At 39.2% G+C, this 18,361-nt stretch overlaps 2 long non-coding RNA genes across 2 annotated transcripts in view; one reads left to right on the top strand and one right to left on the bottom strand.

Moving 5' to 3' along the window:
- Positions 1-18,318, top strand: part of LINC02778 (long intergenic non-protein coding RNA 2778) — a 144,047-nt gene extending 125,729 nt beyond the window's left edge. The window contains exons 2-5 of the long non-coding RNA XR_947430.2: positions 2,272-2,344; positions 13,925-14,073; positions 17,962-18,134; positions 18,282-18,318. This is a non-coding gene — a long non-coding RNA (long intergenic non-protein coding RNA 2778). The remainder of the gene's footprint in view (positions 1-2,271; positions 2,345-13,924; positions 14,074-17,961; positions 18,135-18,281) is intronic.
- LOC105378761 (uncharacterized) overlaps positions 1-18,361 on the bottom strand; it is a 94,372-nt gene that overhangs the window by 57,830 nt on the left and 18,181 nt on the right. The window contains exon 2 of the long non-coding RNA XR_947431.2: positions 11,034-11,269. This is a non-coding gene — a long non-coding RNA (uncharacterized LOC105378761). The remainder of the gene's footprint in view (positions 1-11,033; positions 11,270-18,361) is intronic.

Below are 18,361 nucleotides of genomic sequence, written 5' to 3' on the forward strand. Positions count from 1 at the left end.
TGTCCTTGCAACAGTTTGCTGAGAATGATGGTTTGCAGCTTCATCCATGTCCCTACAAAGGACATGAACTCATCCTTTTTTATGGCTGCATAGTATTCTGTGGTGTATATGTGCCACATTTTCTTAATCTAGTCTATCACTGATGGACTTTTGGATTGGTTCCAAGTCTTTGCTATTGTAAATAGTGCCACAATAAACATATGTGTGCATGTGTCTTTATAGCAGCATGATTTATAATCTTTTGGGTATACACCCAGTAATGGGATGGCTGGTTCAAATGGTATTTCTAGTTCTAGATCCTTGAGGAATCTCCACACTGTCTTCTACAATGGTTGAACTAGTTTACGGTCCCACCAGCCATGTAAAAGTGTTCCTATTTCTCCCCATCCTCTCCAGCACCTGTTGTTTCCTGACTTTTTAATGATCGCCATTCTAACTGGTGTGTGATGGTATCTCATTGTGGTTTTGATTTGCATTTCTCTGATGGCCAGTGATGATGAGCATTTTTTTCATGTGTCTGTTGGCTGCATAAATGTCTTCTTTTGAGAAGTGTCTGTTCATATCCTTCGCCCACTTTTTGATGGGGTTGTTTGTGTTTTTCTTGTAAATTTGTTTGAGTTCTTTGTAGATTCTAGATATTAGCCCTTTGTCAGATGAATAGATTGCAAAAATCTTCTCCCATTCTGTAGGTTGCCTGTTCACTCTGATGGTAGTTTCTTTTGCTGTGCAGAAGCTCTTTAGTGTAATTAGATCCCATTTATCAATTTTGGCTTTTGTTGCCACTGCTTTTGATGTTTTAGACATGAAGTCCTTGCCCATGCCTATGTCCTGAATGGTATACATTCTTTACCACTTTATAACAATGATGGCCTTTCCTCCAGTTTCCAATAATGTGTTCCTCATTTTCATCTGAGACCTCATCAGAATGGCCTTTACCATCTATATTTCTCCCATGAATATATTGTTCATGTCCACTTGGATATTCTTTAAGAAGACTGAGGCTTTCTGTATAGATTTTCTCTACTTTTGAGCCCTTACCAGAAGAATTATCACTTATTCATAGCAACCTAGGTTTTTACTAGCATGCACATCAAAATTCTTCCAGTCTTTACTCATTAGCTAGTTCCAAAGTCGCTTCTACACTTTTAGGTAACATTATAGCCTATCCTTCTGCTCTTGCCTGGAACAGAAGTGTGTTGCTGGAAATGAAGCAATCATTTTTCAACCATGAACTAATGACATGAGGATGAAACCCACACTAAGGATATTTGAGAAAAATGTTAGAAAATTTCTGTTCCTAATGTCAACAAGGGCCACATCAACCCTGAACTCTAACTCTCAGCTTCCTCTTACATGAGAATGATAAATTTCTTATTTCATTAAGCTACTATAGTTAGTTTTCTGTTACTAGGTTACACAAAGAAGAATGCAATTCCTAACTGATAAAATGCTTCAAAGCTGCTGCAATTAAAATACTGCACATCATCATATTAATGCTAAAATAGGCAAGTACATTAATGGATGGTCCAGAATTTATACTTGTATAAATATACATATGTATTATATTTATCTCTATGTACATTAGTTTTTATTATAAAGTAAACATTTAAAATCAGTACTATGTGTTGAGTTAGTTCATTCAAAGTAGCCAACAGATGAAGAAAGAGTTCAGCAAGATAGATTTAACCATCTTTGGAAGTCTTCCTATTCCAACAGCCAGCTCCTCTCTGTGTCTGCACAGCCCCATAGTGGTCTGCATTTTTGGATCACGGCTGCTCTCTGTAGACTCTGCCTCTCATATCACAGAACATCCCCAGTTCATTGTCCTCCATTACTGAATCTGTACCCGCTTCGTTTTCATCACTGTCTGCCCCAGGTGAGTCTTCGTCCTGCCCTTCCTCAAGCTCGTGCCACATGATCCTTAACATTGAACCTTTCACAATTGGTAAATTCTTGCTGCTTGACTCTTTAATTCAAAAGTCAATTTTCTTGATAATATTCAGGACTCCATCCTCTGTACTCTTTTCTGCCATCCATTTATGTTGATTGATTAGGTCAGAAAGCCCAAGCTTTTCATTTAGTTCTTCTTAACACCCTTGTCATTTAAGTCCATTAGTATTTTAATAGTGGATTTTAAAATATTATATTAAATTTTATTGCTTTTTGACAAAGGCAGCTCAAGAATAATTTCTGAATACCTTATAGAAACCATAAAATGTCAGAGCTGCAAGGGCCCTTAGAGATCATCTGCTATTACTTTTTATTTTACAGATGGAGAAACTACAGCCCAGAGAGGGGAGTGATTTTCCCGTTGTTGCACATCTCATTAGTGAAGATGTTAAAGGTAAAACCCCAGAACTTTCTTGATTTTCATCTTAATCTCCACTTGTCCAGGTTTTATTTCTTGCTATTGGAGGCGCCACCCTCCAATTTTTTTTACATGTTTTATAACGTAAGTAATCTGTTAGGGCAAAACATGCAATTCTATATAGAACAAATATGCATATATGGGGAATGAGTTCTTAAAAACATTTATTCACTAGGGTAAGTGATAAAACAAAAGTTTGGAGACCGCAGACTTTGAATTTCAAATTCTTAGTGTGAAATATTAGTCTATTTATTAGGCTATTTTTTTTTTTGAGACAGGGTCTCACTCTGTTGCCCAGGCTGGAGTGCAGTGACACAATCTCAGCTCACTGCAGCTTCAACCTCCCAAGCTGAAGTGATCCTCCCAACTTGACATCCTAAGTAGCTGAGACTACCAACTCATGCCACCGCACCCAGCTAATCTTTTGTTTATTTTTTGTAGATACAAGGTCTCACTGTGTTGCCCAGGCTGGTCTTGAGCTCCTGAGCTCAAGCAACCAGCCCACCTTGGCCTCCCAAAGTGCTGGGATTATAGGCATGAGCCAGTGCACCCAGCCCCAGTTACTCTTTTGGTTAGTATTTATTGAAGGCTATTCTGTGCCAGGCACAGTGAGAGGCAACAGAGAACATTATTGAACAGAAGCAGAGTCTTGATCCTCACAGAATGCACTATCTAGCTGGGGATAGAGGAAGACACTGAGCTTGTCTGGAGGCTCAGGGAACGCCTCCTTCAAACAGTGGTATTTGAGTTATGAAGTATGAGTTCCTTCTAGTCATAACAAATTACTGGAAATTTCTGGAATTTCTCAAAGTTTCCCACTAAAAACTTGTAGGAGTTAGTCCCACTGTCCTGAAATTTCTCACTTCAGACCCCACGTCCACTATTTCATCAAATTTTTCATTCTCATCTTAGATTCTGCTGGGGGCCTCTTCCTTTTTTTTTTTCTTGCTACCTTATATTGTAACACCCACATGTTATAATCTTCGCTTTATTCATTGGCCTTTTATACTCCCCTGTACCTTGCTCTTATTTCCTATTGACAGCATATTAATTAGAGCAGAATATGTTGAATTGAATAGAAGCTCTCTAATGGTCAGTCATATCAAACTGTTGTTTATGTTATTTATTTGCACAAATGATTCTCTGTTCCTAGAAAATTCTTATTTAGGTGTTTGAATCTGAGTTACCAAAAAAAAAATTTCACCCTCCTCTTGGGCCACATGAGATGTTCTTTACTTTTCTCTAAACATTCTAGATCACCAGAGTACTAGAACATTCCACAGAACAAGCAATATATGGTATTGTAATTGTGTATTTGGCGGTTTGTCTCTACCTCAAAATCATGAGCCAATTGACAGGAAAGATATTTCTTACTACCTTTTAATTCCAACGTCCAATGCTGTATCTAGCACATAGTATGTCCTCAAAAAGACCGTTTGAATTAAAGGATAAAAGGTGATTGTTTGAATTAAAGAATAAAGGAACACACAATACTACTGAGTTCTATCTATGAGGAAGTAATAAGAGTATGATGGGAAGCAGGTTCTCTGTGTATGCATGTATATTTATGTATGCATATATAAACAGAGGTACCTTCGTTTTAGCATAAGACTCAGGGTCTTAGGCAAAAGGGAGACTGACAACTAATGTATATAATCTGAAGTTTTTTTTCTCTTGCTTATTGTCTATCTTCCATATGAGAATTTAAAGTTCTGTGAGACAGAGGCTTTGTCTTGTTTATTTCTGTGTCCTTTGCTCCCAAACATGCCTGGCCCATAGTAGGTGATAGGTAAAAATTGTCAAATGGATATAGAAATAATGCTTATTTAAGATTTAATATATGTAAATAGTTTGTCAGGAATCCTGCATGTGCTTCCTCATTAAGACCTCAAGATCATCCAATGTTAGAGATGAGTAGCAGAGGCCAGGCAAGAGACGTGACAGGCCCAAAGTCCTTTGGCTCTTAAGTGCTGAGGCAGCCATTCAAACTCAGGACTCTCTGGTCCCAAAGACTAAATTAAAATTGAAGCTCAATAATTCTTACATTTAAAAAAAGGCCTTGGGTACATTTCTTAATTAACCCCACCTCTGTTTCTAAAGGAAAGAAAGCTGTAAACCAGGAGTAAATTATATTGCCTTGCAAACTGTGAACTGTAAACCTGTAAACTGATGGTAAATGAATTGTGACCAGAACACAACCACACCCCAGCCATGAATGGATGTCACAACAACTCAAAGAAAATGGAGGAAGAAAAATGTGTCCATACCATGCCCAATCTTTCAACACTTCATTTCTGAAGGACTGACAGCAAAACTGCCTTTCTCATGCAGCTGGTTGGGCTGGGATCTTGTCCAAATGCATGAAGGTGACTTTGATTCTGTGTTGTTCAGCTTCTACAGAGGGAGAGAAGGATACAGGCAAGAGCATGCTCCTTTGACATCTCACAACGGCACATGGCCCAGCTCTGTCTGACTTTGGCACTTTGTCCAAGAAACTTTTCCTTTCCAAACAGCACATCCTTCTTCTGACCTCACATCTAGAATCAGTTTTGTTCCAGAGCATAACAAGGTTCTCGATGCTCCCATGGCTGCCAACTTTGTAACTAAAGACAAATGGGAAAAGCAAATGGATCCTGGGCAACATGTGCCATTACTTTCCTGGCTGTAGACAGTGATGATGTAAGGTTTTATGTGGTCTCCTTGCCAGCTTCTGAGCCTGATCACAGTGATGAAACTAGCAAAGGAGTAATTATGAACATTCACATAACAGTGCAGAGAGAGCAGAGCTCTTAAAGCAACAGAAGGAGCCCCAGCTTTATCCAATTTTGGTTATTACATACATTTTCTGATTCTAATGCATTTCATATATTCATTTATTATGCTCCTACTATAGTGTATGCATATACATACAGGGAAGTATATATAGTCTCTGAGGACATGATGTTTTACAGAAACCTTAATGGAGCCATTGTGAAAATTTAGGGACTGGTTATGAGACAGGGGCAAGGATAAAGGCTCTGAGATGAGAGCACTTTAGTGTTTTCTGAGAATAGCATGGAGTTCAATGTGGCAAGAGCAGAAGGGACAAAGGAGACAGTGGTAGGAGGTGAGGTTCAACAGGAAGCCAGAGGTTAGTTAGAGAATTACTATACCTACTTCTTAGAGGAAAAGCCATAGGAATATTCTGAGCAGCGGAGGGGCATGGTTTGACTTTTGTGCTAAAAGGGGCACTCTAGTGGGGAGTGGAGAATAAACCTTGGGAAGGTGACAGAAGATGCAGGCAGGCAAGTAAGCACACCTCATAACATCACATTGCACCCCCTAAATGGATGTAATTATCATTTGCCAATTAAAAATAAAACTTATAACAATTAAAATTCTTTTTTAAAAGAGCTAACTGCTGCCATCCAGAAGAAAGAGGGAGAGAGACTGGCTTATACCAAAAGGTGGAAGTAGGGGTTAATGGTGAGAAGAGTTAGCATTCAAGATAAATTTTGAGTGGGGAGCCTGAAGGATTTGCTAATACACAGGGTATAAAGTGTGAAAGAAAAAGAGAAGTTGATGATGACAAGGTTTTGGCTTGAACAGCTGTATTAGTTCGTTTTCCTGCTGCTGATAAAGACATACTAGAGACTGGGAAGAAAAAGAGGTTTAATTGGACTTATAGTTCCACATGGCTGGGAAGGCTCCAGAATCATGGCGGGAGGTGAAAGGCACTTCTTACATAGTGGCGGCAAGAGAAAACGAGAGAGGTGCAAAAGTGGAAAGCCCTGATAAAATCATCAGATTTCATGAGACTTATTCACTACCAGAAGAACAGTATGGGGGACAGCTTTCGGCCTGTTGCTGGGCTTTGGTGGAAACTAAACATTTGACTGGGTCATCAAGTCACCTGTGACCTGAACTGCCTATAATGAACTGGGTGCTTTCTGACCCATCTAGCCATAAAGTGGGTCATGCACAGCAGCATTCCTTCATCAAATGGAAGTGGTATATACATTATCAGGCTCAAGCAGGTCCTGAAGGCACAAGTAATTTACACGAGGAAGTGGCTCAAATGCCCACGGTCTCCACTTCTGCCACCTTGCCTTCTCTTCCCGAGCCCACACAGATGGCCTCATGGGGAGTTCCCTATTATCAGTTGACAGAGGAAGAGAAGACTAGGGCCTGGTTCACAGGTGGTTCTGCACAATATGCAGGCACCACCCGAAAGTGGACAGCTGTAGCACTACAGCCTCTTTCTAGGACATCCCTGAAAGACAACAGTGAGGGGAAATCTTCCCAGTGGGTAGAACTTAGAGCAGTGCACCTGATTGTACGCTTTGCATGGAAGGAGAAATGACCAGATGTGCAATTATATACTGATTCGTGGGCTGTAGCCAATGGTGAGGCTGGATGGTCAGGGTCTTGGAAGAAGCATGATTGGAAAATTGGTGACAAAGAAATTTGGGGAAGAGGTATGTGGATGAACCTCTCTGAGTGGCCAAAAACTGTGAAGATATTTGTACCCCATGTGAGTGCTCACCAATGGGTGACCCAGCAGAGGAGGATTTTAATAATCAAGTGGATAGCATGACCCATTCTGTGGACACACCTCAGCCTCTTTCCCCAGCCACTCCTGTCATCACCCAATGGGCCCATGAACAAAGTGACCATGCTAGCAGGAATGGAGGTTATGCATGGGCTCAGCAACATGGACTTCCACTCACCAAGGTTGGCCTGGCTATGGCCACTGCTGAGTGCCCAATTTGCCAGCAGCAGGGATCAATACTGAGCCCTTGATATGGCACCATTCCTCGGGGTGATCAGCCAGCTACCTGGTGGCAGGTTGATTATATTGGACCTCTTCCATCATGGAAAGGGAAGAGGTTTGTCCTCACAGGAATAGACACTTACTCAGGATATGGGTTTGCCTAACCTGCACTCAATGCTTCTGCCAAGACTACCATCCATGGACTCATGGAATGCCTATTCACTGTCATGGTATTCCACACAGCATTGCCTCTGACCAAGGCACTCACTTTACAGCTAAAGAAGTGTGGCAGTGGGCTCATGCTCATGGAGTTTACTGATCTTACCATGTTCTCCATCATCCTGAAGCAGCTGGATTAATAGAACGGCGGAATGGCCTTTTGAAGTCACAATTAAAATGCCAACTAGGTGACAATACTTTGCAGGGCTGGGGCAAAGTTCTCCAGAAGGCCATGTATGCTCTGAATCAGTGTCCAATATATGGCACTGTTTCTCCCGTAGCTAGGATTCACAGGTCCATGAATCAAGGGATGGAAGTGGAAGTGGGTTACCCCCAGTGATCCACTAGCAAAATGTTTGCTTTCTGTTCCTGGGACATTACATTCTGCTGGCCTAGAGGTCTTAGTTTCAGAGGGAGGAACACTGCCGCCAGGAGGCACAAAAACAATTCCATTAACCTGGAAGTTAAGATTGCCACCTGGACAATTTGGGCTCTTCCTGTCTTTAAGTCAACAGGCTAAGAAGGGAGTTACACTGTTGGCTGGGGTGATTGACCCAAACTATCAAGATGAAGTCAGTCTACTACTACATAACAGAGGTAAGGAAGAGTATGCATGGAATACAGGAGACCCATTATGGTGTCTCTTAGTATTACCATGCCCTGTGATTAAGGTCAATGGGAAACTACAACAGTCCAATCCAGGAAAGACTACAAATGACCCAGACCTTTCAGGAATGAAGGTTTGGGTCTCTCCACCAGGAAAAAACCCATGACCTGCTGAGGTGTTTGCTGAAGGCAAAGGGAATACAGAATGGGTAATAGAAGAAGGTCATCAATACCAGCTATGGCCACGTAACCAGCTGCAGAAACAAGGACTGTAGTTGTTATGAGTATTTCCTCCTTTTGTTAAAAACATGTTTGTGCATGCGTACACTTATATTAAGAAAATATCTTCATTTTATTTCCTTTTCCTTTATCATGTGACATAAGATTTATTGACTTCACATCAGCATTTAAGTATTGTTAACTTTATGTAATAGCGTTTGGGTTGGGGATTGGTGCGCTTCTGGTTGTACGAAGGAGAGTTGTGTTATGTTAGGCATAATTATGACCTGATTATTGTCTTTACTTGAAGATTATGTAAGATCTGAGGAGATGTGTATGAGTTCAAGTTGACAAGGGGTGGACTTGTGATGATTAATACTGGGTGTCAAGTTGATTGGATTGAAGGATACAAAGTATTGATCCTGGGTATTTCTGTGAGGGTGTTGCCAAAGGAGATTAACGTTTGAGTCAGTGGACTGGGAAGGTCAGACCCACCCTCACTCTGGGTGGGCACAATCTAATCAGCTGCCAGCACGGCTAGAATATTAGCAGGCAAAAAAATGTAAAAAGAGAAACTGGCCTGACTTCCCAGCCTACATCTTTCTCCTGTGCTGGATGCTTCCTGCCCTCAAACATCGGACTCTAAGTTCTCCAGTTTTGGAATGTAGACTGGCTCTCCTTGCTCCTCATCCTGCAGATGGCCTATTATGGAACCTTGTGATCATGTGAGACAATACTTAATAAACTCCCATATATATATATGTACATATATATAGTTATATATATACATATATAGTTAGTTATATATATATAGTTATATAGTTATATATATAGTTATATATACATATAGTTTTTATATATATATATATATTTCTGTCCCTCTAGAGAACCTGACTAATACAACAACTGAGTATATTAAGGTGGGGAACAGGGTGGGAAGGGGGTAATTCTGGCTTGAAGTGGGAAATCAAGAACTCTCTTTCAACATGTTAGGTTGGAGATGTCTATTAACCATCCCAGGGAGGCTTCAACTAGGAAGTTAGGTATATAAGTCCAGAATTCAGTTATGACTAGAGTCAAAAATTCAATAGGTATCATGTGTTTAAAGTGATGAAACCTAGAAAGTTAATGCAGGTAGAGAATAGAAATCTTGGAAAGATGGACTAATCCCTAGGAAATTTTAATAATTTATTAGTGAAGATGTTATTCAACCCCAAATAATTAAACCTATCTTTTAGTGGGTCATTTTTTATGGCATAATAGAAATTTCAAAAGGTGTAAGACAAAGGCCTTGCCTTCAAAGAAGAGAGATTGGTGTATTTTTAAGAACACTGCCAATGAACACTAGACCTAGCCTACCTCCTACTAGATGTGTGATCTTTAACAAATTACCCAATGGTTTTGGTTTCAACATTTTTATTGTATAAGTGACATACTAAGTACCTATATCATAGCAATTTTAAGAGAAAATTAAATTAGATACCAAGTATATGATATTGTAGACATTCCAGCTTCTTTCTCTTCAAAGAATGTTTATTTGGGGGAACTGTTCCCCCACACATCTTCCATCTAGTCTAGATTGTAAGCTGCATGAGGGCAGAAAACACTTTTATCTTATATCTGTTATATAGAAAATAATGCCTAGCATTGTAGGTTCTCAACAATTATCTGTAGAATAAATCAAGTGGGAAACCAGTAGGTATATTTGGGTAGGATTTAGGTGCCTGGATACTTAGATGATTCAAAGTAAATGCTGTCCCTTTACCTCACAGAGTTTACACACAACCCAGGCGTTTCAATACAATGATAGAAAGAAAAGACAACCATGATGGAAGACTTAATCCCCAATTAAAAACACAGAACTTATTTTCCATCATTATATTTGTGTATAATTTAAATATGCTGGGTTGCCTTTAGTTCATTTAAAGCAAAGCAATGCATCTAAATGAAACAAATATCTTATTCAAGAAGTATTGTAGAAATTTATTGAAGTTTTCTTTAAAATTCAGTAGTTATTCTTGCGATACAAACTATCGCAAGAGCAAAAAACCAAACACCGCATATTCTCACTCATAGGTGGGAATTGAACAATGAGATCACATGGACACAGGAAGGGGAACATCACACTCTGGGGACTGTTGTGGGGTGGGGGGAGGGGGGAGGGATAACATCGGGAGATATACCTAATGCTAGATGACGAGTTAGTGGGTGCAATGCACCAGCATGGCACATGTATACATATGTAACTAACCTGCACAATGTGCACATGTACCCTAAAACTTAAAGTATAATAAAAAAAAAGAAAAAAAAAATTCAGTAGTTATGTGTATACCGTCAACAACATGCAATGAAAGTTCTGAAAGATCTGCTTTACACATCAGTGGAGCCCAAGTCTCAGAGCCCAAGGCAGTGGCTCATCATTTACTCTCCTCCTTGCACTCTTCTCAAGCCTGAAGCTCTCCTCTCTGGAAAGATGACATCCTGGCATCTCCATATCTTTTGTTTGTTAAAATGCATATTGATATATTGATTTTGTTTCCCTCAGTTTCCTTGAGTGCCCTCCCCTCATATCACCACTTCCCCACTCCAACCCCATTCCTCATTATGACTGGGGCTTTCCTTCTTAGGAGTCGGAGTAGGAGAGGGCAGGGGGATTCCAGTGGCTTGGGATTTTTTTTTTAATATAGTTCTTATATGTTAAAAAATTGATTATAGCAAGAAACTCACACTTTAGGGTCTGAATGGAACCTAGGACAGGGTGATGATCTCTAAGGAGAATTTAGCAGGGCAGAGGGTGTAGGAATGGCCTTCTCTTGCTGACTAGCCTTCTCTCTCACTGTCTTCTCATGTTTGTCCTCATTTCCTCACCTGTATTCGTTTTCCAGAGCTGGTGTAACAAGATACCACAGATTGTGTGACTTCAACAACAAAAATGTATTTCCTCACAATTCTAGGGCGAGGTGTTTGAGATCAATATGTCACCAGGGTTGGTTTCTTCTGAGGCCTCCCTCCTAAGTTGCAAGGAGCTGTCTTCTCACTGTCCTCACATGGTCTCTTATCTGCACTAGCATCTTTGGTGTCTCTTTGTGTTCAAATTTTTCTTCCTATAAAGACACAAGTCAGATTGGATTAGGTCCCACCCATATGGCCTTATTTAACCTTAATTATGTCTTTTAAGACCCTGTCTCCAGAAACAATCACCCTCTGAAGTATTGTGGGTTAGGACTTCAACATATAAATTTGGGAAGGAGCACAATTAGGCTCAGAACACCTATGTAGGAGACTTTTTCCACAACTGTCTCTCTTGCTTTTCCATCTTGGGACGATTTGAGAGGCCTCAAGAGCACCGTGAGTAAAGTGCAGAATTTGAACTAGTCAGTCCATAGTATGACTACCAATTGGGCACTGTGGTGGAAAGAGCATGGCCTCTGCCCTAGACTGCTCTGGGACTGACTCTCAACTGAGCTGCTTACTAGTTGAGTGAAGGACAAAATAGGCAAGTCACTTAATTTCTCTAATGGAAAATTTCCATATATTTAAGTTGAAGGCATCTTCTTTCATAGACATGTTATGAGTATTAAATAAAATATTTTATATATAATAGACATAATAGATATATAATATCTATTATATCTAATATGTATATATATATGTGTATTACATTCCTGGAACCCAGTGGATATTAAATAAATGTTACTGTCTTGCCTTCCATTTCTTATTTTAAATGGCAGCCTCTTGTGAGAATAATAAGATAGTAATAAGTTCATAGGCTAGTATTGGAAATATTATTAGGTATATATAATTAGTGCTCAATAAATGGCAGCTTTTATCATTTTAAGTCTCTCTCTGCCAGTGGGACACATTTCCCAGAGTGTCCAAGCCAAAAGATTTTTTAAGGGAAGTTAGGCCTTTCTAGATACAAAGAGTATGAACAGGGCTGAGTATGGTATTGAATAAACCAGCTTGTTGCAGTAAACAGCCAGTACATATTGATGCATTACTGAGATATTGTTAATCTGTTTAAATTCTAAAGCAGTTTAAAAATTTTTCATAAATAGCCATAGTTGTTTTATGAGGTATGTTGGGCTTGTAAATTGCTATTTTATTGTTATTTTGAGGAAACAGAAGCACAAAATACAAAAATGTAAAGTCTTACGGCTTGATGGTACAGAGCTTATTGCCCTCTACTTTCTCTTTAGGACTCCTAAAGTAATAATATTGGTAACAATTACGACTGTAACAACAAAAATAATCAGATTATGTAACTCTTTAGTAATAACAAAGTTTTCCCATCTATGAATTGATCTGATGGTCACAAAAAACCACTGAGGTTAATCCTGGCAGGGATTATTAATTAAACTGAGCTTGCAGATGAGGAAAACCAAACTTAAAGAGTCTAAATGGCCTCTCCAAGGTGAGATAGTTAATACATGTGCATAGTTGTAGTCCACTCTAAATAAGATTGTTGAATAAATACAGGAGTGGACAAGTCACATAAAACATAAGTCTTTACTCAGTTTTATTATTTCCCCTTATGCTACAGAAACTGCAACTTCCTGTGGAAACCACTGGAGAAGACAAACCATAGCTGACTATTGAGGCAGGGACCATTCTCCTTCAACTTCCAACTTCGCCTTCAATTATTTTAACAAATCAATTTGTAGGTCAGCTTACCTTAGAAGCATCCTTAAGCATTTGACATATTTTTGTACCACCTATACTTGACAGCACATGTATATTTTATTTCACTTGAAATTAATAAAGCGTGGAAAAAAGCACACACTCTGATGTCATTTATTATTGGGAATAAAACTGGCTCTACCACTTATTAGCTCTTATTAGGCCTCAAGTTTCCCAACTGTAAAGTAAGAGAACAATAGTCTCTACCTTATTGGGCAACTGTGAGAGTTAAATGAGATCGTCCCCGTGGGAAACTTAGTAAATTCTTCTGAATAATGTGCACTATTAGTAGGAATTATGTAATTTTTAATATAAGCAAAAGGCAGAGAAGAAAACTGTGATAAATGCCCCTGTGGAAAGAGGCTTGGTACATGCCAAGCCCTTCACAATGTGAATAATGATGATGATAGTGACAGTGGGGATTACTGTGGAGAGGATGATGAGGATGGTAATGATGATTTGTGCCTGTGATAGGCATGGTCAGGGCTTTGAAAAAAGCCTTAACTATACTTCTTATCAACTGTAAGCTGTGGAATATATCCTTCTTATTTACAACAAATGAATGAATGAATGGAGAAAAAAGAGCTTCTAACTCTCCTAGCACCTATTTCTGAAACAATTCTTTCTTACGCCTAGACATCAGGAATCTCTATTTCTTTCAAGAGACTGAAAAAATGTCTTCTGTTGAATTGGTAAAATCTCAAAACCAAGCAGCCAGGAATTTTTTTTTGAGAAGTTCCTAAGAAGAAAATAGGTCAGCATAATCTAAAGCAATATTTTCAAGCTGACAAATTGGTCTCTTTACATTCTTTGGCTGTACTTAATGTCAAATTTAAGAATAGTGTTCAAATGAAGGCGGTAACAATCAGCCCATGTCAACTTTGGGGCTTGGCTAGGTTCTGTGTCATATTTAAAGAGTGACATTGGCCCAGCAAGAAAACCTCAGACATTGATTGACCAGAATAGGAAAGGACTGGAAACCAGAATCCATAAAGAATGGTGAGAGAAATTGAAATGTTTCCCCTGTTAATAAAAGGGAGGGGTTAAAAAAAAGTAACTATCTCTTTTTACATTTTTAGAAGAGTGTCACATGGAGGAAGAAGGAAACTGAATCTCTGTGTCTCCAGAAGGCAGTTCTAGGACCAGTGCATGGGAATTTCAGGGAACAGATATGGGTTCATGTTAAGGAAAATCTTGCTAAGTGAGCTGCTCAATGCTGCTTTTAAAGGTAGGAAGAGGGCTATGTTTTATATTCAATATGCTCTTCATATTTTTTTGCCTTTTCCAGCTGGTTTATCTAAACAGTTATAATTCATGTTATAATCAGAGAAGAAAACCAATACATGCTATAACATAAAGGAAGATAAAACTAACATTTATTGAAGAGATATTATTTGCCCAGTGTTTGACATACATTACTGGATAAAACCAGTAATAAAGTTGGTTGGGGTATACACACGAAATTTTTTTTTTCTAACCGCTACCACCAGATATGTCATAGTAAGTCTTTTTATTATCATATTGTATTAACTTCTGAAGTGAGTGCTATGACTTTATAACTATTTTAAATTATTAAAAATTCAGTCTGGTACAGAGTTAACCCCCAAACTGATTAGTCACCCTCTTCCTTCTCCCAGTTCAAATTTGACCCATGGCTCCAGGGAATTGCAGGTGTGTGTATGTGGGGTGTTGTCCTTCTTCCTCTCCTTCTTGTTCTACCTCCTCAGGCGGAAAGGCTTATGGGAAATGAGGAAAAACATTTACATTTAACTGGGTCTGCAGTTGTATCTTCTCCTGGATGTTTCTACTCCTCCTCAGGCTAACACAAATTATTCTGTGTGGCAGGTTTCCACACAAAGGTGCTTTTGTAGGGGTCATGTATGAGTTCTTGCACAGTTTCATAATTGGAATATTCCATTCCTACTCAATTTTTCCCCCACAAAATATACATACAGCAATACCATAAGCAATATGCTTCAGCCTCTTGCAGTCCTGGTCCCCATGCCTGTGTGGAGTTGTTCTCTTGGGTGACACTGGCAAGGTAATTCAACCCAAGTCACCTTTCCTGGGGGCTCTTTATTCACAGGAAACTAACTTATTCTTACCACATCAAGTGGTGGACATAAACCTGTTGGAAATTTCCACTTTTTACTCCACCTTCTCCTTATAACTCTCTTTTATCTTGTTCAAAGAGACAGTGGGCAAATAAAGAATCTTCTGCATTAACAGTTGTCTCACTAGGGAATGAGATGCAAGTCTCTCCTTCTTGAAGGTGCTCCCATTCTTTAGCATTGATTCTCCTGGGGCCTCTCATTTCCTCTGGGATGAGGAGGAAAAATGAGCAGCCCTCCCCACACTAGGTCAACTCATCATGACTCATCATATTTGCTTTTCCACTTTATCATTTTCCTTCTTATATTCTGGGGGTGTGGGTGGTGGTAGCTAGTTGACCATCAGTGGTAGTAGAATTGTTTGCCTACTTCTTCCTCAGCCTAAGAGACACTCGCTTGTGGGTAGCCCTTTGGTTTCTCTTGCTCTATAATGTTGGAAATGTAATGCATATTTACTTCTGTTTGATGGCCTACTCTCCAGTCTGCGGACAACAAGAAAAATCCCATTTACTATCCATGGTACATACATGGTCCCATTTAATCCTCATGAAAAAATTATGAAGAAATACTGTTACCATTTTATTGACAAGGATATTGAGACTACAAAGGGCTAAGAAAGTACCTAATGCCACTGACACTAAGGGAAAAAGCAAGAGGTGAACCCAGGCTTGGCTGACTTCAAAGGTTATTCTTTATTCATTATACCAGAAGTGGCCACCTATGTAGCAGAGTTTAAAAACATGACCTTGGCTAAAAGCCCAGTTTTTACCAGGGCAAGTCATCTTCTTAGAGACTTAGGTCTCTCTTCTTCAAAATGGGTGATCAGTATGGTATCTACCCTCAGAGGTCCTTGGGAGGATTAAATATGATAATAAAACTCAAGTGCTTAGCTTGAAGCCTACACTTTATAAGTGCTCAATTAATGTTACTGATTGTGTCATGCAAAGGGGTCCTACATACATACTCCCTTTGTATAAAACTAAAATAGGATTTATACAGAATAAAACTTACAAGTGGAAAGGAAGCACACACAGACCTTGGGTTCTTATTCCATAGAGAGTTGACTCAGGCAGACAGCTCTATTGGGGACACCACAAAACGTATTCCAATAGATAAGAACCCTGACCCCATAAAACTGTTTCTGTACAAAGAGAGTAGGAAGAGGGGTCCTCTCAATGACTTCCTGCTTATAAAGTGAGGACTCTCCAAGTTTAACCTCTGGTATCAGACTGTTTTGGTAGAGCTCAGGAATGTTGAGATGGCTCTTGCAAAGCTAGAGAATAAGGAAATGAGCTTCTACAGCCATCTTAGATTTGTGTTTCCTTGGGGATTATTGCTATTGTTGCAGTTCTGTTTAAAATAGTAGTGATCCATGTGGCAATGGCAATAACAATAAACACAAAGTATTATACTCAGAGCTACTCACAGATAATGAGCTCCCTGCCCCTGGAAAAGGTCCATCTCAAGGCTAGATGGCCATCTTTCAGCCATCTGAGAAAGGATTCCAGCACTGGGTTAAAGGTTGAAGAGATGACCTGTAGGTTTCAATTCAAATTTGAATTTCTCTCAGTCTATGAGTGACTTGAATTGGTTACATGGATCCAAGCCTTCCTTCTTGGCTTAAACTACTCTATGCTATTTCCATTTTGAACCAGCAAAGTACCCCTACCCACAAGAGTCTCTAGCCCACCTGCACCACTGAATGGTAATGTTGACAAAGAAGAAAACCCCAGCTCATTCTTTGAGCCAAACATACCACATTGGTTTTTCTCTTCCCCGAATATGCAGACCGTTTATTTAGAGAGCCCAATGACTTAGATCTGGTTATATATTATTCCTAGTGGATATGTTTGCTCACATCCATGGGACTTCACTGTTGAAGAACTGTGAGATTATTGCCTACATTTTTCCAAATCATATTTAATATAGCTGCAAGCCAGGGTTTCGGTAGTGTGGCATAATCTCATCAGAATGATCAATTCCTTCTGTTCCAGAACCAACGGGCATTCAACCTTGCCTTAGAGAAATGCTAGCTGGAAGCCTTTGGATTCTCATATCACTATTTGTTACCAAAAAAAAGAAAAAATAAACACTGCTAGCCCAGACTCATACAGCCTTCATTTCCTTGGAAGTACAAAGACTTTTCAAGTTGGTTTAGCATAAACTTCTGGATGAACCACTGCATCTGTGAAAGTTAATGTCCTGTACTTTAGCCCAGATGAATAAATCCATCTCCTTATTGGCACCATGAAGACTTTCCATTTTTTTGAACATTTAAAGTTCCTTTTTTATGTATTGGGAGAATTTTTCAGCCAAGACTGCCTGATTTTTGAAACAGAGTTTTTGGGTGTTCACAGTTAAATGGAAAAGACAAAAAGAAAAATTTAAAATAATCAAGAGAAACAACAAAAAAAAAAAGGAAAGAAAGAAAGAGAAAGCCAATCAACCACAATAAAGAACATTTAAATTTATTTCTTTATGGACTAAATTTCCTCAAATATAGACAAAGCCAAGAAGTTGGAAGCTTGGTTTATTTTTTTATTTTTAAAATATTACTTTCTTTCAATTTATTTTTATATTGGTAGATGATGTGAGACTCATTACATTTTATAGGCCTGAACAAAATCTTACAATTTCTTACTAATATTATGCAATGACATAATGCCATTTGTAGAGGTGTCACATAAAGCAATTGACTTTTACTGGCTTCTTATGGCAGGGCTTGCCATTTTATATTCTGTTTTATGTAAGCGTTTTCCAAATTTATCGACCTCACAGGATTTCTCAAGTTGCTTAATTATGGTAGGAAGAAGATATCTCTGTGGTCTGACACAAGAGGCTATTAAAGTCTCCTTTAAAAAGGGAATCCGAGAAGTGGGGAGGTAAATGTGGCTAACATTTAATGCATGCCTACTATGGGCTGGATGCTGGGAGGTAGGGATAAAAGTACCTGGCACTGCCCTGAAAATACCATGCAACATATATTTATTTTTCTAATTTCACAGATGAGCAAACTGAGTCTCAGTTGCTATGTCCAGCATCACAGTAGGTACTAAGTAAATGGAGGCACCAAGATATCCACTCAGGTTTGACTTCAAGTCCATGCTATAGAATCACAAAGGACAGCAATGCTCATATCATGATGGATCAGCCTCTCAGAGGAAAACTCTGAAAGCAGGTAAATTCTTTACCCAGTGGATGAAGGCTCAGGAGGACCTCCCCAGTGGATTAAGAAATGGAGTCTGTCTTTTTCTTTTTACCTAGTGTTGCAGCCTTCACATCTGGATCAAGCACCATTTCTCTCTCTCTCTCTTTTTTAATACAGGGTCTGGCTCTATAGCCCATGCTGGAGTGCAGTGGTGAGATCTTGGCTCACTGCAACCTCTACCTCCCAGGCTCAAGACA

The sequence above is a fragment of the Homo sapiens genome, chromosome 1 (genome assembly GCF_000001405.40).
Source record: "Homo sapiens chromosome 1, GRCh38.p14 Primary Assembly".
NCBI lineage: Eukaryota > Metazoa > Chordata > Mammalia > Primates > Hominidae > Homo > Homo sapiens.